This window comes from Homo sapiens, chromosome 21 (genome assembly GCF_000001405.40).
Source record: "Homo sapiens chromosome 21, GRCh38.p14 Primary Assembly".
Taxonomy (NCBI): Eukaryota; Metazoa; Chordata; class Mammalia; order Primates; family Hominidae; genus Homo; species Homo sapiens.
The window spans coordinates 41,332,888-41,359,138 of NC_000021.9; the positions used below are offsets into that span (position 1 = coordinate 41,332,888).

At 42.9% G+C, this 26,251-nt stretch overlaps 1 protein-coding gene across 5 annotated transcripts in view, besides 1 other annotated feature; it reads left to right on the top strand.

Annotated features, from left to right (window-relative positions):
- FAM3B (FAM3 metabolism regulating signaling molecule B) overlaps nt 1-24,840 on the top strand; it is a 53,486-nt gene extending 28,646 nt beyond the window's left edge. For 4 of the 5 annotated variants that reach the window (XM_011529649.3, NM_058186.4, NM_206964.2 and 1 more), the window contains 6 exons: nt 5,491-5,614; nt 11,589-11,647; nt 12,799-12,849; nt 14,126-14,213; nt 15,705-15,837; nt 24,221-24,840. In XM_011529649.3, the coding sequence (XP_011527951.1) occupies nt 5,491-5,614; nt 11,589-11,647; nt 12,799-12,849; nt 14,126-14,213; nt 15,705-15,837; nt 24,221-24,310 (545 nt within the window). In that variant the 3' untranslated portion in view covers nt 24,311-24,840. Of the gene's footprint in view, nt 1-5,490; nt 5,615-11,588; nt 11,648-12,798; nt 12,850-13,321; nt 13,521-14,125; nt 14,214-15,704; nt 15,838-24,220 lie in introns of those variants that run through there. The other variant, XR_007067791.1, reaches the window with a different exon arrangement.
- Nucleotides 25,358-25,657: an enhancer, noted in NCBI's record as "active region_18470". NCBI's record gives its function as "activates an Ori minimal core promoter by ATAC-STARR-seq in GM12878 lymphoblastoid cells {active_cell/tissue: GM12878}" and the evidence as "EXISTENCE:reporter gene assay evidence [ECO:0000049][PMID:35858748]".

A 26,251-nucleotide genomic window follows, 5' to 3' on the forward strand; every position in this document is an offset into this window, starting at 1 on the left:
TGTTTTTTTGGCCTTTTCTATTGTTTTTCTAGTCTCCATTTCATATACTTCTATTATGATTGTTGTCATTTTTTTCATTCTGCTAACTTTGGGCTTAGTTTGTTCTTCATTTTCTATTTTCTTGATGTATAATCTTAGGTTGTTTATGTGAGACCTTTTTTTAATGTACGCATTTATTACCATAAACTCCTCTGTTAGAACTGTTTTGCTGTATGTCGTAAGTTTTGATATGTTGTGTTTCTGGTTTTTTTTTTTTTGTCTCAAGATAGTTTTTAATCTCCCTTTTAATTTCTTCTTTGATCCATTAGCCGTTCAGAAGCCAGTGTTGTTTGATTTCTACATATTTTTGAATTTTCTGAAATTACTTTTTGATATGGCTTGAATCTGTGTCCTCACCAAATCTCATGTTGAATTGTAATCCTCAATGCTGGAGATGGGGCCTGGTGAAATGTGATTGGATCATGGGAGTGGATTTCTTATGAATGGTTTAGCACCATCTTCTTGGTGCTTTTCTCATGATAATGAGTGAGTTCTCATGAGATCTTGTTGTTCAAAAATGTGTGGTACCTCCCTCTTCTCTCTCTTGTTTCTGCTCTGGCCATGTGATATGCCTGCTACCCCTTTGGCTTCTGCCATGATTGTAAGTTTCCTGGGGCCTCCCCAGAAGCTGAGAAGATGCCAGCATTATACTTCTTGTACAGCCTGTGGAATCGTGAGACAATTAAAACCCTTTTCTTTCTAAATTACCCAGTCTCAGATATTTCTTTCTGGCAGTGCAAGAATGGACTAATACAGAACATTGGTACATAGGAGTGGAGCATTGCTATAAAGATATATGAAAATAAGGAAGCAGCTTTGGAACTGGGTAACAGGCAGAGGTTGGAGAGTTTGGAGGCTCAGAAGACAAGAAGATGAGGGAAAGTTTGGAACTTCCTAGAGACTAGTTGAATGTTTGTGACCAAAATGCTGATAATGAGATGGATGGTGAAGGCCAGGTTGATGAAGTCTCAGATGGAAATGAGGAACTTATTGGGAAATGGAGCAAAGGTCACTTTTATTATACCTTAGCAAAGAGCTTGGCTGCATTGTGCCCCTGACCTAGGGATCTGTGGAACTCTGACCTTGACAGTGATCATTTAGGGTATCTGATGGAATAAATTTCTAAGCAGCAAAGCATTTAAGATATGGCCTGGCTGCTTCTAATAACCTGCGCTTATAAGTGTGAGCAAAGAAATGACCTAAAGTTGGAAATTATATTTAAAGGGGAAGCAGAGCATAAAAGTTTGGAAAATGTGCAGCCTGGCCATGTGGTAGAAAAGAAAAGCCTGTTTTCACAGGAGGAATTCAAGCAGGCTGCAGAAATTTGCATAAGTAAAAAGAAGCCAAGTGCTATTAGCCAAGACAATGGGAAAAAGTCTCCAAAGGCATTTCAAAGACCTTTGCAGCTGCCCCTCTTGTCACACAGGCCCAGAGGGTTAAGAATACAGAATGGTTTCATGGGTCAGCCCCAGGGCCCCACTAACCTGTTCAGCTTCTAGACACTGTTCCCTGCATCTCAGCAGCTCTAGTTTCAGCCATGGCTCAAAGGGGCCCAGGTATAGCTCAAGCTGCTGCTTCAGAGGGTGCAGGCCATAAGCCTGGGGGGTATTCACATGATATTAAGCCTGCAGGTGCACAGAATGCAAGAGTTAATGCTTGGGAGGCTCCACCTAGATTTCAGAGACTATATGGGAAATCCTGAGTGCTCAAGCAGAAGCTGCTGCTGGGGCAGAACCTCTACTAGAACAGTGCAAAGGGGAAATGTGGGGTTTGAGCCTTCACACTAGTCCCCACTGGAGCACTGCCTAGTGGAGCTGTGGGAAGAGGGCCACCATCCTCCAGACCCCAGAGGGGCAGATCCTGGCAGCTTGCACCCTCAGCATGGAAAAGCCACAGAAACTTAATGCCAGTTTGTGAGAACAGCCTCAGGGACTGAGCCTTGCAAAGCCACTGGGGTGGAACCAGCTGCCCAAGGCCTTGAGAGTCCACCCCTCACACCAGTGTATGCTGGATGTGAGACATGGAGTCAAAGGAGATTGTTTTGGAGCTTTTAAGATTTGATAACTGCCCTGCTGGGTTTTGGACTCGTGTGGGGCCTGTAGCCTCTTTCTTTTGGCTGATTTTTTGCCTTTTAAAGTGGAAATATTTTACCCACTGCTTGTACCTCCATTGTGTCTTGGAAGTAAATAACTTCTTTTTGATTTTACAGGCTTGTAGGTGGAAGAGATTTGCCTTGTCCCAGATGAGACTTGGGACTTTGGACTTTTGAGTTAATGCTGGAGTGATTTTGGACTTTGGGGGACTATTGGGAAAGCATCATTGTATTTTGCAATGTGAGAAGGACAAGATATTTGGGGGACCAGGGGCAAAATGATGTGATTTGCATTTGTGTCCCCAGCAAAATCTCATGTCAAATTTTGCTCCCTGTTGTTGGAGGTGGGGCATGGTGGGAGGTGTTTGGATCACGGGAGTGGATTCCTCACGAGTGGTTTAGCACCATCCCCCTGAGGCAGTGCTCATAACAGTGAATTTTCATGAGACGTGGTTGTTTAAAAGTGTGTGGCGCCTCCTTCCCACCCTCACTCTCTATTGCTCCTGCTCTGGCCATGCTCCCGCTTTGCCTTCCACCATGATTGTAAGTTTCCTGAGGCCTCCCCAGAAGCTCAGCAGATGCTAGCACCATGCTTCCTTTACAGCCTGCAGAACCATGAGCCAATTAAATCTCTTTTCTTTATAAATGACCCAGTCTCAGGTATTTCTTTATAGCAATGGGATAGCGGCCTAATATACTTCTATTATTGATTTCTAGTTTCATACCATGGTAGTAGGAAAAGATACTTGATGCAATTTCAGTCTTCTTACATTTATTAAGTTTTGTTTTGTGACCTAACACATGGTCTGTCCTGGAAGACATTCCATGTGTGCTTGAGAAGAATGGATATTTTGTTGCTGCTGGATGGAATGCTCTGTATGTCTATTAGATGCTTTTGGTGTAAAGAGCAATTCAAGTCTCCTCTACCCAGTGTTGATGTCCCACCAGTATTTATATGTTGAAACCTCATTACTCATCTGTCAGTATTAAGAGGTAGGGCCTTTTGGAAAGTAAGACATGAAGACTTATGAATGGGATTAGAGCCTCTACGAATGGTATTAGCACCCGTATAAAAGAGATTGAAGGAGGCATGTTTGCCCGTTTCCACCATGTCAGGACACAGCAACAAGGTGCAATCTATGAGAAATGGGCCCTCATCAGACACTGTATCTGCTAGCACCCTGACCTTGGATTTCCCAGCCTCTAGAAGTTTAAGAAATAGGCCAGGCATGGGGGCTCACATCTGTAATCCCAGCACTTTGGGAGGCCGAGGTGGGTGGATCACCTGAGGTCAAGAGTTCAAGACCAGCTTGGCCCACATGGCAAAACCCCATCTCTACTAAAAATACAAAAATTAGCCAGATGTGGTGGTGCATGCCTATAGTCCCAGCTACTTGGGAGGGTGAGGCAGGAGAATCGCTTGAACCTGAGAGGCGGAGGTTGCAGTGAGCTGAGATCACACCACTACACTCCAGCCTGGGTGACAGAGTGAGACTCCATCTGAAAAGAAACAAGAAGTTTAAGAAATAAATTTGTGTTATTTACAAATTGCCTAGCCTAAGGTATTTTTTTAAAACAGCCTGAACAGACTAAGACAAAATTTAATTTTTAAAAAATTTTCTGCCTCGCTTACCTGTCTATTGTTGAAAGTGGGGTATTGACATTCACTACTATTATTGTATTACAGTTTATCTCTGCCTTCAGATCTCTTAATTTTTGCATTTAGGTGCTCTGATGTTTGGTGCATACATACACACACACAATTGTTATGTCTTCTTGATGAATTCACTCCTTTATTATCATATAATTACCATCTTTGTCTTTTTTAAAAGTTTGACTTGAAGTCTATTTAAACTGATGTAAATATAGCTATCCCTGCTCTCTTTTGGTTTCCATTTGCATGGAGTGTTTTTTCCATCCTTTCGCTTTCAACCTATACATTTTTTAAATCTGTCGAGCTCATCTGTGTCTTTTGATTACAGAATTTAATTCATTTACATTTGTGGTAATTATTGATAGATAAGGCTTTACTACTTCCATTTTGTTCATTGTTTCCTGGTTGTTTTGTAGGTCCTTCTTTCCTTTGATTCTTTACTTGTGATATTTTATGTATAATCTACCATTTTGCTGACTATACTTCTTAGTTTAAGGTGCTAAGAGTACAGTAATTCATAAAATAGAGCCAAGTCTCTACTCAAACTTAAGGTGAGAGAGTGAGAGAGTGCTTTCTGAATTCCTTTCTGCAGACTTAGGATTTAAATCTGAAGTGAGCACAGCACTGTGGGTTCTATGGGTGATGATAGACAACTACTCGGGGATCTGAGTGGGATCAGTAGTGATGCAGTGAAAGATGTGTGGGGGCTGTGGGGGCATGGGAGCCTCAGGGGTGTTCAGGGCCAGGTGGGCTCCTCGCATTCCAGCCTCAGGTCCCTCAATCCTCCCAAATTGCTGACCCCTGTGAAATAAGGATGCTGATGCTAGGAGAGATATCTCCAGGATCTGACATCATAGCGTCCTGGGCAAAAAGCTCAGTTCCTCACACTCAAGTGAAAGGAGAGTGGGTCAGCTGTGGTGGTCAGGTGTATGTGGTATAGAGTGTATGTGTGACTGTGTGTGATATGGTATGTGTTGGGGGAGGGGATGTGTGTGGGAGTGGTGTGGTGCGTGTGTGTACATGTATGGTGTGTGTGTCTATATGGTATGGTGTGCATGCGTGTGTGGTGAGTACATGGTGTGTGTGTGAGATGTGCAGTATGTTGTATGTTGTGTGTGAATGTGTGCTGTATATGGTGTGTGTGTGTGTGATACATCATGTGGTGTGTGTGCATGAATGTGTGGTGTGGGTGTCAGTGTGTTGAGCATGTGGTGTGTTGTATGATATGTATGGTGTGTATGTTTATAGTGTATGTGGCATGTTGTGTGATGTGTGTGTGTTTAGGGTGTCTAAGGCTGTGTAGATGCAGAAGCTTTATAGATGCTCCACAGATGGCTGTCTTTGCTCACCAGCTCTCTTAGACCCCTGTAATCTTTCTTTTATTGTATTGCAAATTACATTGCCCACCAAGAATGTCACAATGGGCAGCCATGGGCAGTGATTCCCAGCCCTTATGAAATTGTTACGCCTACTCAGTACCCCTCTCCTTCTTTGCTTATTTGTCACTTTAAAATGAAATCAGATTCAGTGAGCTTTGTGTCTTTAGGGGAATTCTCAGTGAAGTCTGGAAACCCTTCCCCCTCAGGTTTTCCGACCGCTGCTTGGAGTTTCTGGTATGAAGTGCTGGTGTTCTCCGCCAAGCAGCAGGTGCATCTGTAAATTACTGTGGGATGTTAATGGCTATATACTTTCTTATTCATTACAGCTCCAGTCCCCAAAAGGCAAAAATGTGACCACTGGACTCCCTGCCCATCTGACACCTATGCCTACAGGTTACTCAGCGGAGGTGGCAGAAGCAAGTACGCCAAAATCTGCTTTGAGGATAACCTGTAAGTACCAGCGTTTAGAAGGAAAATAAAGCGATCCTACTGATTCTTGCCCCTTCCCTGAGGCTGACCAAGCAGCAGTTCTGCCCACAGGAGAGAACCATATGTCGTTGGTCTCAGGCAAAAGGCTGAGAGCATCCAAGTGGAAATGAGAAAGCTCCGCTGTATTCACCAGGGAAGGAGCTGATTGTCTCTAATGGCTGTATGTGTCTTGTGTTTAATGGTTTTACGGTTTCGTTTGACTGCAGTTGTACTTAGGATTTAAATCTGAAGTGAGCACAGCCCTGTGGGTTCTACGGGTGATGATAGACAAGTACTCTGGGATCTGAGTAGGGATCAGTATTGATGCAGTGAAAGGTGTGTGGGGCACGTGGGGGCATGAGAGCCTCAGGGGTGTTCGGGGCCAGATGGGCTCTGAACAAAGTTAGACTACTTTAAAAAGCGAAGTTAGACTACTTTACTTTGAATATGTGGCAAAGTCCTTCAAAGTCATGGGAACATGAAAACTCAGCCGATAGTTTCTTCGTTTTATTTTATGATCCTCACCTTCCTGGATTAAAGCAGGTGTTGTTTCTGTTTGCAGTCCATACTTTACACTTCTTCAATATTTTGGGAAAATCCATATAAGATTGATATTATTTCTTCTTTAAATATTTGGTGTGATTTCCCAACAAAGTCGTCCTGGCCTGGAGGGTTTTGTTTTGAGGTTTTTAACTGCAAATTTAATTGATGTAATAAGTACAGCACTACTTAAGTTATCTGTTTCTTCTTGAGTGGGCCCCATTTTTATTTTTTTATTATTTATTTATTTTGTTTTAGTGCTTCCTTGATTTACAGCATAGCTAAACTCAGCCGAGTCTTTCTTTGTTCAGACTGAAATCAGCCATTTCTCTAAAGAGAGAGTTCCTTAATGGGATGTGGTATTTAGAAACCAAGATCTAGACACTCATGGGCCCTTGATAGGGTTCCTCCTAAGCACTTTTAGTGGACAGAACCAAGCAATGCATTTGTTTCTAAATCATGAATTTACGTTAGCATTTACAATTCAAATTCAACAGTGCAGGAGTCTTACCCCCTTAAGTTCTTCGATTTTACATTTTAACTCTTCCCTTACACTGAGAATCTTGGTTCCTAGTACTATTAACCTTCGCCTTCAAATTACAATACCAAGACTACTAACAATACAACTACTGAGTGAAGTTAAAAAATGTTGTTTGCAGTTCCTCATAGATTTAAAAATATTTTATTAAGGTTATAAAGAGTCAGATGTCTATATTAATCAAGGCTCTCCAGAGAGACAGAGCCAATGGCAGTGGGAGGTAAGAAGAGAAAGGAAAGAGTGGATTTATTTATTAGAGAAATTGGCTCATGCAATTATGGAGGCCAAGAGGTCCCACGACAGGCCATCTGCAAGCTGGAGACCTTGAGATGCTGGTAACATGGCTGAGCCCAAGTACTAAAGCCTCAGAACCAGAGAGGCAGATGGTGTAATTCTCAGTTTGAGAATCAATAGGAGATGGGAGGTCTGCTGGTATCAGTCTTGGAGTCTAAAGGCGGGGGAGCCTGAAGTTCTCATGTTCAAGGTAGGAGAAGTAGAAGGGTGTCCCAGTTCCAGCAGAAAGAGAGAGAGAGGCAAAAGGGGACTGAAGTTGTCTTTTTTTTTTTTTTTTTTTTGAGACAGAGTCTCACTCTGTCACCAGGCTGGAGTGCAGTGGCGCCATCTCGGCTCACTGCAACCTCCGCCTTCCAGGTTCAAGCGCTTCTCCTGCCTCAGCCTCCTGAGTAGCTGAGGCTACAGGCGCACACCACCATGCCCAGCTAATTTTTGTATTTTTAGTAGAGACAGGGTTTCACCATGTTGGCCAGGATGGTCTCGATCTCTTGACCTCATGATCTGCCTGCCTCAGGCTCCCAAAGTGCTGGGATTACAGGCATGAGCCACCACACCCAGCCAAAGTTGTCCTTTTATAAGGAACCCATTCACTCCTGTGATAACAGCATTAATCCATTCAGGAGGGCAGAGTCCTCATGGCCTAATCACCTCCTAAATGTCCCACCTCTTAATGCTATTTCCACATGAGTTTGAGAGGTAACAAACATTCAACTCATAGCAATGACCAAAGTCATATGAAATAATTACTTTCCCTGTAGTTATTTTACATTGAATTAATTTCCATTTGCTTTCAATGCTAGGTTTGTTTTTCTTTGGGTTTCATTTAATTTTTGAATATATATTTATTTGGTTCAGAAATCAACATTATGTTTGAATATTACATGTCCCAAAAAAGGAGGCTCAGAGAAATCTTCCCTGTATTCTCCACCTTTTCTCCCCACCTCTTGTTCCCATCTCCATTAATTTTTTAATTAGTTTTTGATTTATTCTTCCAGTATTTCTTAATGGCAAAAAATAAGCTATATATATATATAAAATTAATACATACCTATGTATATTTTTATATACAGGTATATATATGCATGTATACATGTGAATATATGTATATGTGTGTATGAATATGTGTGCATATGTGTATATACACATTATACACGTATACACTCATATGTACACACACATTTATATCCTTTCTTACATAAAAGGTGGTAAACTCTATACACAGTTATGACCTTGGCTTTCTTCACTTAACAGTTAATAGAGATTACTCCATATCAGTACATCAGGCTTTTCCTCATTTCTTTTATTGATATGTGGTATTCCATAGCACGGATGTGTCATAGTTTATTCAACTAGTTCTGCACTGATAGGCATTTCTGATGTTTGATATCTTTTGGTATTACCAGTAATGCTGCAATAAATAACCTTATGAATATATCATTTTGTAATAAATTATGATAAGGCGAGCAGTTGTGTAACCACCATCCTGGCTAAGAAATAGACTATCACTAGCACCCCATAAGCCCTCTGTGTACCCCTTCTGAAATGCAGCTTCCTCTTTCCTTCCTGCCCAATGGTAACCTGGATTTTTTTTGGTGGTGATTTATTTCCTCACTTTTCTTGGTAGTTTTACTGCCTAAGCATGCATTGCAAAATACTGTTATTTAATTCAACACTTGTTTAATGTTGTCTGTTTTGGACTTTGTATAAGTGGAATCATAAACCAAATACTCTTTTGTGTCTGAGATTTATCCTTCACGTTGGATGTAGCTGTTGTTCTTAGATGTTCATTGCTGTATGATACTGCATTGCATGAATATGTTACAGTTATCCATTCTATTGTTGAATGACATTTGAGTCATTCCCAGTTTGGGGTTATTATGAACAGTGCTGTTTATGTCTCTTGGTGCACATGCACATACATTTTTGTTGAGTGTTTTTTTGAAGAAGGATTCTCACAACTAGCCTCAAATTCAGTGATACTCTAGAAAAATTCCTAAGACCCAATAACAGGTTACACTTATAGGTAAGTTTTCTTACAGCAAAAGACACAGAGCAAACCCTCCTGCATGTTCTGCTGATGGTGAATTCTTCCAGTTTATGTTTCTCTGAAATATCTTTACTTCACCTTCATACCTGAAAAATAGTGTGGTCTGCTGATAGTGAATCTTTCCAGTTTACGTTTCTCTGAAATATCTTTATTTCATCTTTGTTCCTGAAAAATACTTTTGTAGGCTGTGTTAGCCATTACTTTCTTTCAGCACATTCAAGGTACTATTCCACTGTCTTCTAGGTTCTATATTTTCCTTTTGAGAAGTCAGCTGACAGTCTTATTGTCGCTGCTGTGAAAGTAACTGCCCATTGCCCTCGTCCCCGTCACCTTAGAGATTCCTTGTCTGGTTTTCAACATTTGTACTCCAATGTGTCTTTTGTTGTTTTATCTTCTTTGGAGTTTTTTTGAGTTTCTTAAATTGGTAGGTATTGAAGTCTTTCATCAAATTTAACAAATTCTCTGCTCTTGTATCTTCTGCCCATTCACTTTCTCCTCTTCTTCTGAGATTCTTAATGAAACATATATTAGACCTTATCACTACTATAGTCTCTAGAGCCTATAGTCTATTTTGTATTTTCCATTTGTTTACCTCTCTGCTCTTTATCATGGACAGAGTTGTTTTCCATTCACTAATTCTCTCACCCACTGTACCTAATCTGCTGTCAAACCCATTCAATCACTACTGATTTTAGGTTACTATATTATCTTAGTTTTAGAAATTCATTCTGGTTCTTTTTAAAATCAGCATGTCAGTTTTGGTACTTTTCAGTTCTGAAATTTTTAATTTTATCAACCATGTTTTTGAATACATTATAGTTAAAGTCTGAGTTGGATAACTCTAGCATTTAGAGTGCCTGTGAGTCTGTCACTATTATCTACTGTTTTCTGCTGGTTCCATTGTCTCTTGTGTGCGTTGGCCTTTTTCCTCACGTGTCAGGTTTCATTTGATCCTGCACCTGTTTTTTAAAAAAATTGAGGCATGGGATGATATCTTCTTCTGAGGAATTATCTTTGCTTCTCCCAGGGACCTGGAACCTTTAGCAGAACAGGATGACCTGAATAAGTGTTAAAGATTTTCTGGGCCACCTAGTTGACTAAAAACTAGGCTGAAGTTTATACAAGCTCTGATTTTTTTCTGGTTTGCTCTCACTTTCAGGATTCAACCCTTTGTGACCCCAGGCCAAATAAGATGTGGGAGATTTAACATGGCCCTGACCCTGGCTTCCAACTTCTGTTCCCTTGGCTCACATGGTTGTCAGAAGGGCTGTTCACTTCCTTACACACCTTTTCTGGAATCAGCAAATTCTCCTTGGTTAAAAGTAGCTTTTAAACGCTGGACTTACCAACCTGAAATTTAGTCTTCTCCCAGATCTTGGCCTGGGAAATTCTTAACTACCTTATTTGGTCTCTAACGTATACAACCAGATCTTTAACAACAACAGCAACAACAAAACTTGCCTCATGTTTTCTGCTTTTCTCCATGAGAAAGTCGGTTTAGATTAGCCGATTTTCTATTATCAGAAATCTCTTTCTGCTTCAAGTTATTATGGAATAGTCTCTAAACCTGTCAAAAAGCACTAAGCCTAGAAAACTCATAGGGGAGTTTAGGTAAAGGTGTCAAAACAAAATATTAAAGTTCCGTGTTCGCTATTCCAAAGCATGGAAAAAGGAGGAAGCCTTCCAAATTATTTTCATAAAGCTAACATGTCATTGATTCTGACACTTGACAATGGGAACATGCACATATACAACATGCACACACACAATTTCTGTGATCTTCAGCAATAATTACCATCTCCAGGTAAGTCATTTAGTTTTCCTGATTTTAGGGCACAATCCTCTTGAATTTGGCATTTCATATTCTACAATTTAAAGGTTAAAAATTAAGTGACATACTCAGGCATGGTGGCTCATGTCTATAATCCCAGCACTTTGGGAGGCTGAGGCGGGCAGATCACTGGAGCCCAAGAGTTCAAGACCGCCCTGAGCAGTATGGCAAAACTCCGTCTCTACAAAAAAATTTTTAAAATTAGCCTGTTGTAGTGGTGCACGCTTGTACTTCCAGCTACTTGGGAGGCTGAGATGGAAGGATTGCTTGAGCCCGAGAGGCAGAGGTTGCAGTGAGCCACGATTGCACAACTGCACTCCAGCCTGGGTGACAGAGTGAGACCCTGTCTCAATAAATAAATAGATAATAAATTAACAATAAAGTGCATCTGTGAAGAGCCTGAGCTAAATAAATGTTAGTTTTTCTTCCCCCTAGCCATTTGTCTAAATTATAAGATTGAATGCAGTGTCCAGGTCCCCTGAGAGTCCAGGTCCCCTGAGGGACTGAGTCTGTAGACACTGAGAATAGATGTGTGTGGATGAACATGGGGGTGGCGGTCTCGGGAGCTGCACCAAGGCGAATGCAGACTTTCAAGGAAAAGGTGGGGGACAGCAGATGAGACTGACATTTGGTCAGGCGAAGACTTCGCGGAGCGGGGAGAGTCGCACGCCTCTTGGTACTTGACTAATGCTTAGCTCCATTTCAGACTTATGGGAGAACAGCTGGGAAATGTTGCCAGAGGAATAAACATTGCCATTGTCAACTGTAAGTTACTAAACATTTTCTTTAAACTTCTCTAAAAGCTCTCTGGTCAGATTTTCAAAGGTACCTTGGGTTTTCGAGACTTTTGCGCGTGATTTAGTCTAGGTTTGTATTTTAATGCATTTTAAGATTATATACTCAATTATTTTTACAAGTCTCACTTCACAGATTATTTGTGGTTCTAACAACAAATAAACAACTGAAAACCAAATATAGACTTTATTTTAAAAAAAGAAAAAAACAGAGGGATAGGCCAAAGTTAGGGTTAACACCAGAAGGGCCGCCAAGGGGGTGCAGCCTGTGGTCCTGGACTGAGCCTCTCATTTGCTCCCAGAGTCCCAGTGTCTGCTCAGGGGCTGACACCATAGACCATCTCATCCTTCTGTGTGATAAAAGCCACTGCAACCTCGTGGGAAACAAAACTTGGCCTTTCTCTTAGGTCTGGAATAAAGCTCTCTCACAGTTGCCTTTGAGGGGCCCAGAGGAGAAGGAAAGGGTTTCCCACAACGTCCCTGTGAGTGAGTGGGCCGCATAGCCCCGAGACGTGAGGGCTGTGGAAGTGAAGATAAAATGCTCCCAATCTGACAGCCCTGAAGGAGGCTGTAAAGTAGGAAGTGGGCAGGCTGAGGGGGCTCTGGTGTTTCTGTGGGATGAGGCGGGTGGGCCTGGCTGAGGGGGCTCTGGTGTTTCTGTGGGAAGAGGCGGGTGGGCCTGGCTGAGGGGGCTCTGGTGTTTCTGTGGGATGAGGCGGGTGGGCCTGGCTGAGGGGGCTCTGGTGTTTCTGTGGGATGAGGCGGGTGGGCCTGGCTGAGGGGGCTCTGGTGTTTCTGTGGGATGAGGCGGGTGGGCCTGAGTGAGGGGTCTCTGGTGTTTCTGTGAGATGAGTTGGGTGGGGGAGGTATTAGTGTTCCATCAGGTGTAACCCAAAGCAAACTGGAAGAAAGTTCTAGCACAGCTTCCAGCACTTTCCTTTGACCTGGTTTTGGGGACTCTCCTCAAGGGGCCCGCCCTGTCTCTGCAGGCTGGGTCATTACATCAGTGGTGTTTGCTGGAGATAGACAGGGAAGAAATATTTCCTTCCCCAGGCCCTGGTGCCACAAGTGCGCCCTAGTTCTGTGAACTTTCTTTTAAAATACCATTTCTTTTATTTTCAGATGTAACTGGGAATGTGACAGCAACACGATGTTTTGATATGTATGAAGGTGGTAAGAAAATTTTTTCTGTTAAAATTCAAATGAATTTTAAACAGAAAATTAAGATTAAAAAGCACAAAGAAAAATGTCAACCATTTTTATTTTGTCTACTAGAAAAACGCCAGCAGCTCTCCTGAGTAATCTAGAGTGGTCTTATGTAGATCCTCTTAAACTCTAATTGAATTCATAGAACATTTGAAGGCATCATCTAGAAATGTCTTTTCTTCTGTTAGTTTTCCTCAGTCTTTCTCTTTTTAGCTCTCATGATATAATAAGAAAGAGAAAAAGCCTTTTTTTTAAAAAAAAAAAAAAGCCAAATACATTATATGTAAAATAAAGCCACCAGCATCCAGCCCTAAATATCATCATCCTTTGAAAGCTGTCACGATTACTCCTGGTGACTCACAGTGCTCTGCTGGGCTCAGGGCAAGCATTCCCGGAACCCACGGGTGCCCAGTCTTTCTCGATGGTCTCTCCTTTCTAGGCACTGACTCTTGACTGCAGTTGTTGGCCAGGATATACTATCCCCTCTTATTTTTATATATCAATGAGACTTTCAAAAACAAGTTTTTATAAAGATAGTGAAGACGAAGAATAGAAAACGCCTGCACCCACCCAATAAGAAGGACACAGTTGTACTCTGCAGTTAACCTAAGCAGAACAGTAAATAATGAGCCGCAGCGGTGAGTAACAGGGTTTGAGGTTTACCTTTATTTTATAAGGCATAGATAAGTCTCTTGGCACAGACTTGCCCACGGTCCACATGTCTCGTATTTGAGTTCTGTGGGAGTCTCTCTCCTGCACACGTCGGTGTGTTTGCAAGGCCACTCTGCTCAGTGGTCGTGGTGTGGGTGTGGGTGTGGCCCTTTATCAGTGACTACAGAGAACACTCCACCTGTGCCACACAGGCTGCTGCTTGTTAAGAGTTTGGTGATCTCATTTCTAAGGAGGGTTTTTTTTTTCTACCAGGGGCTCCACTTCTCTTGTTTGTTGGTCAAAAAAGCTCCTTATCTTGACCCCCTTTCACTACTGCCCTGAACACCTATTGCAAGTGTTAGGTTCTTTTCCTTCTACGCTGTGCCACTCACCTCAGATAGTCCCTATGGTACCCCAGTGAATGTTCACACGTCCAGAGCTAGCACACCATCTGCAGGGTTGAGCAGCGAGCGCTGGGACCCCCAAGGATTCAGAATGGACACAGAATGCAGGTGCAGGAGGAAGCCCAGCACCCAAGGCAGAGCCTCAGTGAACAGCAAAGACCCTAAAACTGACTTGCATCCCCCAATAGATAACTCTGGACCGATGACAAAGTTTATTCAGAGTGCTGCTCCAAAATCCCTGCTCTTCATGGTGACCTATGACGACGGAAGCACAAGGTGAGTGGGTGTAGGTCTGTCACAGCGGTGGGCAAGAGAAGCCAGCTGGGGCAGAGGCTGCCAGGGTCTCTCAGTGACATCCTCTGGGGACAAGCAGAAAGTCCAGGAGCAAAGTACTTCTCTAAGGAAAAAGAATGAAAGATCATGACAAAATAGATGGCATTTCTTTAAAAAAAAATTAAATCACTAACCACAGAAGTACTAGAACCTAAATCAAAGGAGTATTTCAAGGAATCAAGACAAAGCCACTGTTGACCATAATTAGGACAGACAAACTAACCTCCGGACAGAAAGCCTAAACCCAGGGTGGCATTAATAGTTACAGCAATGTGAAAGGAAATTGAGATAATTTCCCTATAGAAAGAGGAAAAGAGGCTGGGCGCAGTGGCTCACACCTGTAATCCTAGCACTTGGGAGACCGAGGCAGGCGGATCACGAGGTCAAGGGTTCGAGACCATCCTGGCCAACATGGTGAAACCTTGTCTCTACTAAAAATTAAAAAATTAGCCAGGCATGGTGGCATGCACCTGTAGTCCCAGCTACTCAGGAGGCTGAGGCAGGAGAATCGCTTGAACCCAGGAGGCGGAAGTTGCAGTGAGCCAAGATTGCACCACTGCACTCCAGCCCGGTGACAGAGCGAGACTGTCTCAAAAAAAAAAAAAAAAAAAAGAGGAAAAGAATAAAGAAATACACACATACACATTCAATACTGTACTAGAAGTGGATGTAGCTCAGTGCCTCTCAGAGTGTGTCCTACTAAGTAAACCAAACCTGTGTCTTTGCTGCAGAATGTCTAAGAACCTTCAAAGTGCTTATTTGTGTGGTGAATTTCCCAGACAGGGCTACTGACCACAGCATTTCCCAAATTTATCAGATTCCTTTTTTCATGGAGCATCTTACCAAACTGAAGTTCCTTGGCACATACTTTGAAAAATTCTGACTTAACTCACTTAGAACAATCTAAACTTAACTGTTTACTTTCCTGTCTACCCTCCTGTCACTTCCTCTAAATCTTAATGTTTGCAGTGGCAGTATTGTTTTACATTTCTTTTTCCTTTTTGATGTGGACTTTTCTGATTATGAAAAGGGGGCAGTTTTGGCATTTGCTTTCATCTTTCAGCAACTTCTCTCCACCTTATTTTGTGGTCACTAAACAAGGGGCAGAGCAATAGCCGAAAATTGTATTGGCTGAGTGTGAGCCTGAGATTGAACCCCAAAGCACAAGGGCTTTCCAGAATTGAGAAGTAGAATTCTGTGCCCCAAACTGGGGCCTAAAATGGCTCTGGATGTCCAATGGTTAACTAGAAATGTGACATTCTCAAGAAGCATGTGTGCCTCTTAGCTGCCACTGTGTGTCATGCACTGCAGCAGGAGATGAATGTGTTTAGAAACCTCCATCCAAGGATGCACAGCGTAACACATCCAGAGCAGAGTTCCTCTCCTCTCCACGTCTCCCTGAGATGCTCACATGCTTTTCCCTTTGTCCTGCAGACTGAATAACGATGCCAAGAATGCCATAGAAGCACTTGGAAGTAAAGAAATCAGGAACATGAAATTCAGGTCTAGCTGGGTATTTATTGCAGCAAAAGGCTTGGAACTCCCTTCCGAAATTCAGAGAGAAAAGGTGAGTGGTTTTAAAATGTCCCTTCCCACCAATGGTGAGTATAGTAAATGCTGTGCCTTGAAAACGTTCCTGGTGGGTTATAACTCCGTCTCCAAACATAAGAGTTGTGTCAGCTGTTTCCATGAGATCAGCATTAGATCCGGACAGAAGTTTCAAACTTCTCCAATCTCTTTCAAAGTAGAAAATTCTGAATGGGCTGTTGGTATTGGTTTTTCACCATGCTGCAGCCAACATGGTCTGTCCTGGGCCTCTCCTTCCTTGGGCAGGAGGTTTACCTCCCCAAGCTCCTGCTATGGGGAAAGTAAGAGAGCTCACCTCTTAGGATGGCTGAGAGCATGAACAGACATGGTGAATGCAAAACACTCAAAACAGGCTGGACACCAAATCAACACTGCACAAATCTGGCTTCCATTGCTGCTGCTGCTGCTGTACTAACTGGGCACGTGATTGATTCTAAGTCCCTCCCTTTATGGCCTTTATTTATCAAAGAGAAGTAAAGAGCAAAAGAATGGCGTTCTCACTTATTAACCACTAAGTCTCCTGTGAAAATTCCAACTGAGGGTTTGCAAAATGTGTGGGAGTAACAAGCTGAGCATCCGATGACAATCACAACATCCTGGAGAATTTCAGAGGGTTCTGCTCTCCAGGAAAAGATGCTGCAGTAACCGGTGCTGCAGTAACCGGTGCAGAAGAGGAGGAAATTGTGCTGCATGACCAAGGCGCGAGACTTCCCCACTATACCTTCTGAGGATAAGGGCCTCCTTTCCACTTAGCCAGAAATTCCCAGAAAGCAGAGATTTCTACATCTCCAGGGTGTGCAATAGGCCGCTTCTGATTTCAGGCTCTGACATTTGGTCCCAGTCTGCCTCCTTGTGCTGTGGATACGGGTCTGGGAAGAAAGACAAGCAACAGAAGCAGCTCGGCATCTTCTTGTTGCCATGACCACCTGAGGTAGAGGAGAAGGGGGCTGGATAAGGTGCGACTTCAGCGCAGGCCACACAACCAGACAACTTGGAACTGGTTCCCAGGAAACCCTAGACCTTCTGTGACCCCCTCTAGTCTCATGTTCCGGAGGCCCGGAAACCATGGTTATTTTAGCATGCATCTACACAAGCATGCTTTCCCCTTGTGACTTCATGTTCCTCTAGAGCCAGGAAGCCAGCCCTGCAGAACGTGTAGGGAATGTTTCCCGGGGCCCTGGCCTCGACCCCTCCTTGCTTATGACTGTGCCTGGGCACTTGCATGCACAGTGAGCCCTCATGGGTCTGCCCTAACCGAGAGGCACTCCCTGAGCTCTGATTGGTGGGGCTCCTTGGGCCCCACCACTGCCTGGACCCACACTGAGGGCAAGCTGAACCAGCCACACAATAGTGAAGCCGGGGCTTACGGTCCTGTGTTAGTTTTGCGAGGGGACGTCGTGTGATCTTAAACAAGTCACGTCACCTCTCTGGGCTCCAGCTTTCCTGCCTCCTCCAGGGCCAGCAGCTGTGCTGCAGTGTGCACCCCATTCTCCCCGGGATTTCCTCAGGCTGACCCTGGGGAGCGAATACTGGGTCCCCATCTCTCCGATCCCTTGTGTGATCCATGCCACAGGCTGTCGTCTTGAGAATGTCCAGGCTTTATCCAGCTGGCTGTGTGGTCTTGGAAAGTTATCTAACCCTCTGTGCTCAGAATCATCACCTGTGAGAGGTGAATAAAGATAGTTCCTGCCACAGAAGGGCTCCTGAACATGAAAGAAGAGAAACACATGGATCTCAGAGTGGAGTCCTGTAACCCAGAACAGCTGGGCCTTCCTGGAGCTCCCCGGGTCCTGCCCCACCAGCCCACCCCAAACCCAGATCCCTCCGCACAGCTTCTGCAATCAATGTCTCTCCCAACTTGGGTCTCCCCAAAAACCAGTGATGTCCAGGCTGTGCGCAGGACAACTGAACCAGCTTCTCAGAGGGTGGGGCCTGGCCTGGAGATTCTGATGCACGGGGAAGGGAGCCTCCTTGCGTGGATCTCCAGGAGAAAATGGAGGCCCTGGTTTCACATACACACCCACACTTCCCCTTAACAGCGTCCTCCGACTTCTCTGCTCCTTCCCCGGCTCTTACCCTGTTTTCCTCCTCCTCTTTCCTTCCTTCCCAGTTCCACAGTCTCTTCAGCATCTCCAGGGGCCTTGTCCCACCTTATCTAACCACCCCAGCTTATTTAACTAGCAAGGGCGGCGGTGAGCAGGTACTCCTGGCAGCCCGGGCGTTGTGCCACACAGGGACCCCCCCATGCACACGAGCGTCTGTGGTTATTATTACTACCAATGGTGCGGTTCTCCAGCTGATTTATGAGAGTGTCCAGACTGTACCAGAAAGGCTGGCATGTGAGGCTGAAATCCTTTTTAACTCAAATGTTAACATCTCATCAAACAGGTTCTTCATTAATGTTTAAGTCGTAGAAAACAAAAACCTCATTGGAATTGCACAGAGGAAGTTGTAGTCCTTCCTTATGATTTCCTTCATATGAAAGAGTTTCTGGAGCAGGAGAAATCAAGAAAAAGACTGGACGTCAAAGCCAGGGCTGAGTTTAGAGAATTGGAATGTGTTTGGAAATGGTGGCTCCAAGTGAATTTCAGGAAAATGCCTGTTTTGCCCACCTGTGTCAGCTAAAAGTTATCCAAGTTACTACAGGAGTATAAAGACGAGACCTAAACACAGCAAGCAGTCAGTGCTGGAGAGTTACTAGAGGTTCTGTGGTTTGGGGGCGCTAAAGGATGTTTGCTCAAATGTTGGTGAGGTCTGGACTGGTAGCCAGGGCTTCAAGACAGGTCTTACCGAGACCTTGAGAGAAGTGCCACTGGAGGAATCATTTGTGTCTGTGTTACTTTGGCTATTCAGACTTGCAGGTGGTGTATTTCCCTAAGGGTGGTGTACCCATGTTGGGAGGGCCTCCTGAGTCCTCAGGGGTCTCCCCAGCCCCATGTTCACTCCCACTCCACCTGCTATTCCAGGAGTCAGCTTTCTAGGCACAGCGCCTGGGCCACTCTCATGCAGAGCCTTTAATGACCCCACTACCTGCTGAATTGAATTTTAAAGTATAAGGAACTTCAAAGATTATTCCATCCAACCTCTTGGTTTTATAGGAGGAAGGAAACTGAGAAATAAATAAGGACAGGAGTCTTGGAAGTGAGGGTAACCTGGTTCAGATCTGGACTTGGCCACCCCGACTGCATGACCTGAGTTTGGCACTTCATAGGCCTGCGCCTCTTCTGCACCCTGAACTGTGGGTAGCGGAGCCTGCCTTGCTCCCTGTGTGTGTGACAAGCATGATGCAGCAGGAGGAGCCATCATTCTCATCGCCTCCAGCATGGTCTGAGTCTTGTCTCTGGTGATCCTAACTGGAGCACAGACCCTTGTCTTCAGCCCCACTCAGCCCCTCCCATGCTTTGTGTGCTCAACACTCCAGCAAAGCCTCATGAGTGGCTGCTCTTACCATACCCTGCAGCGCTTTGCCACTATGCTGGCTCTGTTCAGGTCTCGTCTTTATATTCCTGCTGTAACTTTCCACATGTGGACCTCTGCACATGCCTCCCTCCATGCAGGGGGTGCCTTCACAAAGCCTTAAAGATCCACCTCAAGGCTGTTTCTTCTGAGAAGCCTCTCTGGCCCTGCCACTGCTGCCCGTAATGCCCATGGCATTTTGTACCTTCCCTGAGAAAGAAAGGGAAGGGAATGGAAGGAAGGAAAAAGGGAAGGGAGGGGAGGGGAGGGAAGGGAAGGTGCATTATCACATTAGAAAGGAAGAAGTACTTAGGCCAGGCGCAGTGGCTCACCCCTGTAATTGCAGCACTTTGGGAGGTCAAGGCAGGCGGATCACGAGGTCAGAAGTTCAAGACCAGCCTGGCCAACATGGTGAAATCCCGTCTCTACTAAAAATACAACAAATTAGCCAGGCATGGTGGCGGGCGCCTGTAATCCCAGCTACTCAGGAGGCTGAGGCAGGAGAATCGCTTGAAACCAGAAGGCAGAGGTTGCAGTGAGCCAAGATAATGCCACTGCACTCCAGGCTGGGCAACATTAGCGAAACTCCATCTCAAAAATAAATAAATAAATAAATAAATAAATAAAGGAAGAAGTAAAACTATTTCTGTTTGCAGGTGACATGATTTTATGTATACTAGGCTGGTGCAAAAGTAATTGCACCAACTTAATGGAAATCCTAAGAGGTCCACTAAAAAACTATTTGAACTTATACCAAGTTTAGCGAAGTTGCAGGATACAAAAATCAATGGAAAAACTCAATTATACTTCTCTTTACTTGCAATGAACAACCTGAAGATGAAATTCAGAAAGCAATTGTATTTATAACAGTATCAAAAAGAATAAAATTCCTAGGAATAAAGTTAACGTAGGAGATGCAAGACTAATACACTGAAAACAATAAAACATGTTGAAAGAAATTGAGGACTTAAAAAAAGATATTCCATGTTCATGGGTCAGAAATTTTAATATTGTTAAGATGTCAATACTTTCTTAATTGATCTACAGATTTAACACAATTCCTACTAGAATCCAAGTTGATATATTTTGTAGAAATTGACAAGTTCATCCTAAAATTCATATGGAAATTCAAGAGACTCAAATAACAAAAACAGTCTTGAAAAAGAACAAAGTTGCAGGGCTCACATGTTCCAATTTCAAAACATAACACAAAGCTGCTGTGATTGAGATACTGTCACTCTGGCATAAAGATGGGCATACAGAGAAATGAAATAGAATTGAGACTCCAGCAGATGTGCATGTTCTCACATTTTTGATCAATTGACTTTAGGCAACAGTGCCAAGATTATTTAATGGGGAATGAATAGTCTCTTCAACAAATGGTATTGGGAAAGCTGGATATTCACATGGAAAAGAATAGACTTGGACCCTACCTCATACCATATACAAAAATTAAGTAACAATAAATCAAATACGTAAATGTAATGGCTAACACTATTAAACTCTTAGAGGAAAACAGAGGCATAAATTTTTGTGACTTTGGTTTAAGCAATGGTTTCTTAGATATGACACCACTAACAACAAAAGAAAAGTAAGTTGCCCTTCAGCAAATTAAAACTTTTGTCCTTCCAGCAAAAGAAACTATCGAGTAAACAGACAACCTTTAGAATGGGAGAAAATTTTTGCAAAGTACGCATCTAACAAAAGTCTAATATCCAGCATCTAAAGGAACTTAAACAAATTTACAAGAAAAAATATCCCATTAAAAAGACAAAGGACATGAACAGACATTTATCAAAAGAAGACATCCATGTGGCCAACAAGCATATGAAAAAAAGCTCAACATCACTGATCCTTAGAGAAATGCACATCAAAACCATGATGAGATGCCATCTCACACCAGTCAGAATGGCTATTATTAAAAAGTCAAAAAATAACAGATGCTGGCAAGGTTGCAGAGAAAAAGGAATGCTTTTACACTGCTGGTGGAAGTGTAAATTAGTTCAACCTTTGTTGAAGACATGTGGCAATTCCTCAGAGACCTAAAGACAGAAATACTATTTGACCAGCAATCCCATTACTGGGAATATTCCTAACAAATTATATTTGTTATAAGTAAAATTTAATATTCAAAAAGCAAAGGAATAGAAATTGTTATATTATAAAGACACGTACTCACATATGTTCATTACAAAACTGTTCACAATAGCAAAGACATGGAGTCAACCCAAATGCCCATCAATGATAGACTGAATAAAGAAAGTGTGACACATATTCATCATGAAATAATATGCAGCCATAAAAAAGAATGAGATAATGTTCTTTGCAGGGACATGTATGGAGCTGGAGGCCATTATCCTTAGCAAACTAATGCAGGAACAGAAAATCAAGTGTCACACATTCCTACTGATAAGTAGGAGCTAAATGATGAGAATACATGGTCACATAGAGGGGAACAACACACAATAGAGGGGCCTATTGGAGGCTGGAAGGTGGGAGGAGAAAGAGAATCAGGAAAAATAACTAATGGATACTAGGCTTAATACCTGGGTGATGAAATAATCTGTACAACAAACCCCTATGATGCATGTTTACCTATGGAACAAACCTGCACATCCTGCACGTGTACCCCGAACTTAAAAGTTAAAAAAAAACTTTTGTGCTTCAAATGATACCTTATAGAAAGTGAAAGATAAACCACAGAATGGGAGAAAATATTTGCAAATAAAGGACCTGAATCTAGAATACATAAAGAACTCTTACAACTCAATAATAAAAAGACAAATAACCCAATTTAAAAATGGACAAAGTTGTGAATAGATTTTGCTTCAAAGAAGATATACAAATGGTCAATAAGCACATGAAAAGAAGCTCAACATCATTCATTTTCAGAAAAATACAAATCAAAACCATAATGAGATATCCCCTAACACTTACTAGGTTGGCTATGATTTTTAAAAAGACATAAGAAGAAGTGCTGGTGAGAATATGGAGAAATTAGAACCCTCATGCACTAGTGGAGGAAATGTAAAATGGTACAGCTACTTTGGGAAACATTCTGGCAGTTCCTCAAAAAGTTAAACATACAGTGGCCCTATGACCCAACAGTTCCTCTTGTAGGTATATACCCAAGAGAATGAAAACATAGGTCCACACAAAAACTTGTGCACAAATGTGCATAGCAACATTATTTATAATAGCCAAAAAATGGAATCAACCCAAATGTTTGATTAATGGGTAAGAAATGTATATATAAAATATGGCTTAGCCATACAATGGAATATATTCAAATACGTAAAGAAATAAAATTCTGATACATGCTACAATATGGATGAACCTTGAAAACAGGCTAAGTGAAACAAACAAACAAACAAACAAACACAAAAGGTCACATATTATGTGATTCCATTTATATGAAATTTCCAGAATGAGAAAATCCACAGAGTCAGAAAGGAGATTCGTGTCTGCCTAGGGTTGGGGGAAAGGAGATTCGTGGCTGCTAATGGGCACATGGCTTCTTGTTTGGGTGATGAAAATGTTTTAAAATTGACCATGGTGATGGTTGCACAGGTCTGTGACCATGCTAAAACCATTGAATTGTACACTTTACATTGGTGGATTTTACTATGTGAATTATATCCCAGTAAAGCTGTTATATAAAAAGGGATATATTACTGGAATTCCAAGGTTATTAACAAAATGCACCTTACTTTAAGCATCAAGTTAAGGTGCTCTATTATCTGTGAAAGAGTTGAAGATATAGAGGACTAAACCCACTTCGGGATGAATACATATTTGCTGAGGAAGGAGCTATACAAGGACTCTGGGAAAAAAATACATACACACACACACACACACACACACACACACACACACACACACACATAGTTTTACTCCCAGAGTTGAAAACTAAACATTAGAGCTACACTGTCCAATATGGTAGCTACTAGCTAAATTTACATTTTATACTTAAATTTATTAAAATTAAATAGAATTCAAATTTTGGTTTATCGGTTGCCCTATTCATATTTCAAGTACAGATGCTCTTCAGCTTACATCCCAATAAAAGCATCGTATTTGAAAATATTGTAAATTGAAAATTTACATGTAGCATACCTAACCTACCAAAGATGATAGTTTAGCATAGCATACCTTAAACATGCTCAGAACACTTACAGTTGACTGCAGTTGGGCAAAATCACCTAACACAAAGCCTATTTTACAATAAAGTATGGAGTGTCTCATGGAATTTATTGAACACTGTACTGAAAGTGAAACAGAATGGTTGTGTGGGTCCTTGGAGTATAGTTTCTACTGAATGCATTACCTCCTTTGCACCATTGTAAAGTTAAACCACCATGAGTTGGGGACCATCTGTACTCCATAAGCAAGTGTGGCTAGGGGCTACTCCACTGGACAGGTAGATTATAGAACATGTCCATCATTGCATAAAGTTCTAGAGCTGTATTAACACCTGCTTCAAATATTATTAAGAAACACGGTATAAATATATGGGTAGAAGAAAGAAGACATAGTGTTCAATAGATCATTAGAGCAACTATAGTTAAAAATCATCTATTGTCCATTTCAAAATAAAGGAGAATAATTTGAATGTTCCTCTCACAAAGAAAAAGTAATTTAAGGTGATGGATATCCCAGTGACCCTGATTTGATCTTTACACATGATATGGACATATCACATTATCACATATACTCCAAAAATATGTACATCTATTATATATTAATTTAAAAATTATTATTAAGAAATGTATTGGAAATCAAACACCCAGCTTTGGTTGGAGCAAATCCAAATCTAGGAAGTGGTTGTGTCGGCTCACAACTGATACTGATTAAATACTTGTTTATTAGATTAATGAATAAATAAAACTCTTCTTTTCTCTACACAGATCAACCACTCTGATGCTAAGAACAACAGATATTCTGGCTGGCCTGCAGAGATCCAGATAGAAGGCTGCATACCCAAAGAACGAAGCTGACACTGCAGGGTCCTGAGTAAATGTGTTCTGTATAAACAAATGCAGCTGGAATCGCTCAAGAATCTTATTTTTCTAAATCCAACAGCCCATATTTGATGAGTATTTTGGGTTTGTTGTAAACCAATGAACATTTGCTAGTTGTATCAAATCTTGGTACGCAGTATTTTTATACCAGTATTTTATGTAGTGAAGATGTCAATTAGCAGGAAACTAAAATGAATGGAAATTCTTAAAGGGAATGATGTGATTCAAGCTGGAAAGAGGGTTGGGAGAAACAGCTTGTCCAGGTGGAGCTATGTTATGATCAGATCGAAGTGTGACCCCTGTGTGGTCCAGACAGCCCTGCAGAGAGAAAACCTTTATTCCATTATCACCAAGCACCTCCTAGTTTCCGACAGTCATCTCCTTCTGCTGGGAGAATTAGCAGCAGTTCAGGGGGCTTATGTTATGTCCTTGTTCAACTCAACTTGAGCTCTTGAACTCCTCCTGTGGGCCTGTGAATGTATTCATTCATTCCACAACTCTGGGTGCCTCCCACGTCTGGCACCGGGGGTACAGTACACATTCCCTGCCTTCATGCCAGGCTGCTGAGCGGGGTGGGGAGGGAGGCGCTGCTCTCAGGAGGGCAACTGAACACCTCACTCTCTAGAAGATGCAGCAGTAGATCCAAGAGTCCAGGATGTTCCACACGTGCTGGAACGGTGGGTCAGATGACACATGTGATTCGGGGCTAAGAAAATAAGAGTCACTGGGGCCAGCAGTCACTGCCAACTGTCCATTCTCACCTCTTTCCCGGGCCTGGCCCCAGAAGAGCTAGGAGACTTTGGTGCTGGGTTAATATTCCTTCTCTGAGCCTCTATATCTCATCTGTAAGATAAAAGAGTTGGGATAGATGAATGGTTGCCAAGCATTTTTGTTGGCAGGACTCCTTTTAAAACATGGTGCTACATGGCACCCCGAATTCCAGCATTCTCACAGTAACACACTGCCCCAATTCTCAGTGGCTTACGACAGCATTGATTTCTTGTTTGTGTTAATGTGGCCACAGGCCAGCCACGGCTGAGCCCTAGGTGTGAAAAGCCAGGCTGAAGGGGTGTCCCCTGTCAGGCATGAAAGCCAGAGAGGGAACAGAAATCCAGCCTCCAAGCCCCACCAAGCTCCTGGCCTGATGTGTCAGCCCCAGCTGCTCACATCCCATGGCTCCAAACATGGGAGGCACCAGGTCAGCGAGGCCAGAGTATGTCAACCCCTTCCTCAGGGGCCCCAGCAAACCATGGACTGCATGGCTGTGGGCTGCGTGACAGCCCTTGTCCAAAGAAGGGGGTGGCCACTGTGAGTGGAGATACAATGACCTGATGACTGCTGAGAGCCAAGCAGTGCTCTGGCCCAGGGAGGAGCATCACCCAGCCTGCAAGCCCTGCCCTGGGCAGAGGCCCCTCAGGGAGCCTGGTTGTCTGCAAGGAAGGCTGCAAACCACTGGATGGGGTCATGGCTCAGATCCCAGTAGGGGCTGAACTGTATCCCCCAAAATTCATCTGCTGAAGTCCTAACCCCCAGAATGCAACCTTATTTGAAAACAGGTTAACTGCAGATGCGGTCAGTAAGGATCAAGAGGTCCTAGAGTAGTGTGGGCCCCCACCCATCAGGACTGGTGTCCCTATAAAAAGGAGAAATTTGGAAACACCCACCCAGAGACTGGGATGATGCATCTGTGTGCCAAGCAACACCCCAAATCACCAGCAAACCACGGGAAGCTGGACAGAGGCCTGGAACAGGGTCTGCCCTAGAGACTTCCGAGGGAGCACAGCCCTCCTGACACCTCGATGTGGTACTTCTGGCCTCCAGAGCTGTGAGACCAGAGACCTCTGCTGTTTAAGCTACTCAGGTGTGGTTCTTTGTGATGGCAACCCCACAAAACTAATATAGGCCCTTGTAAGTGCT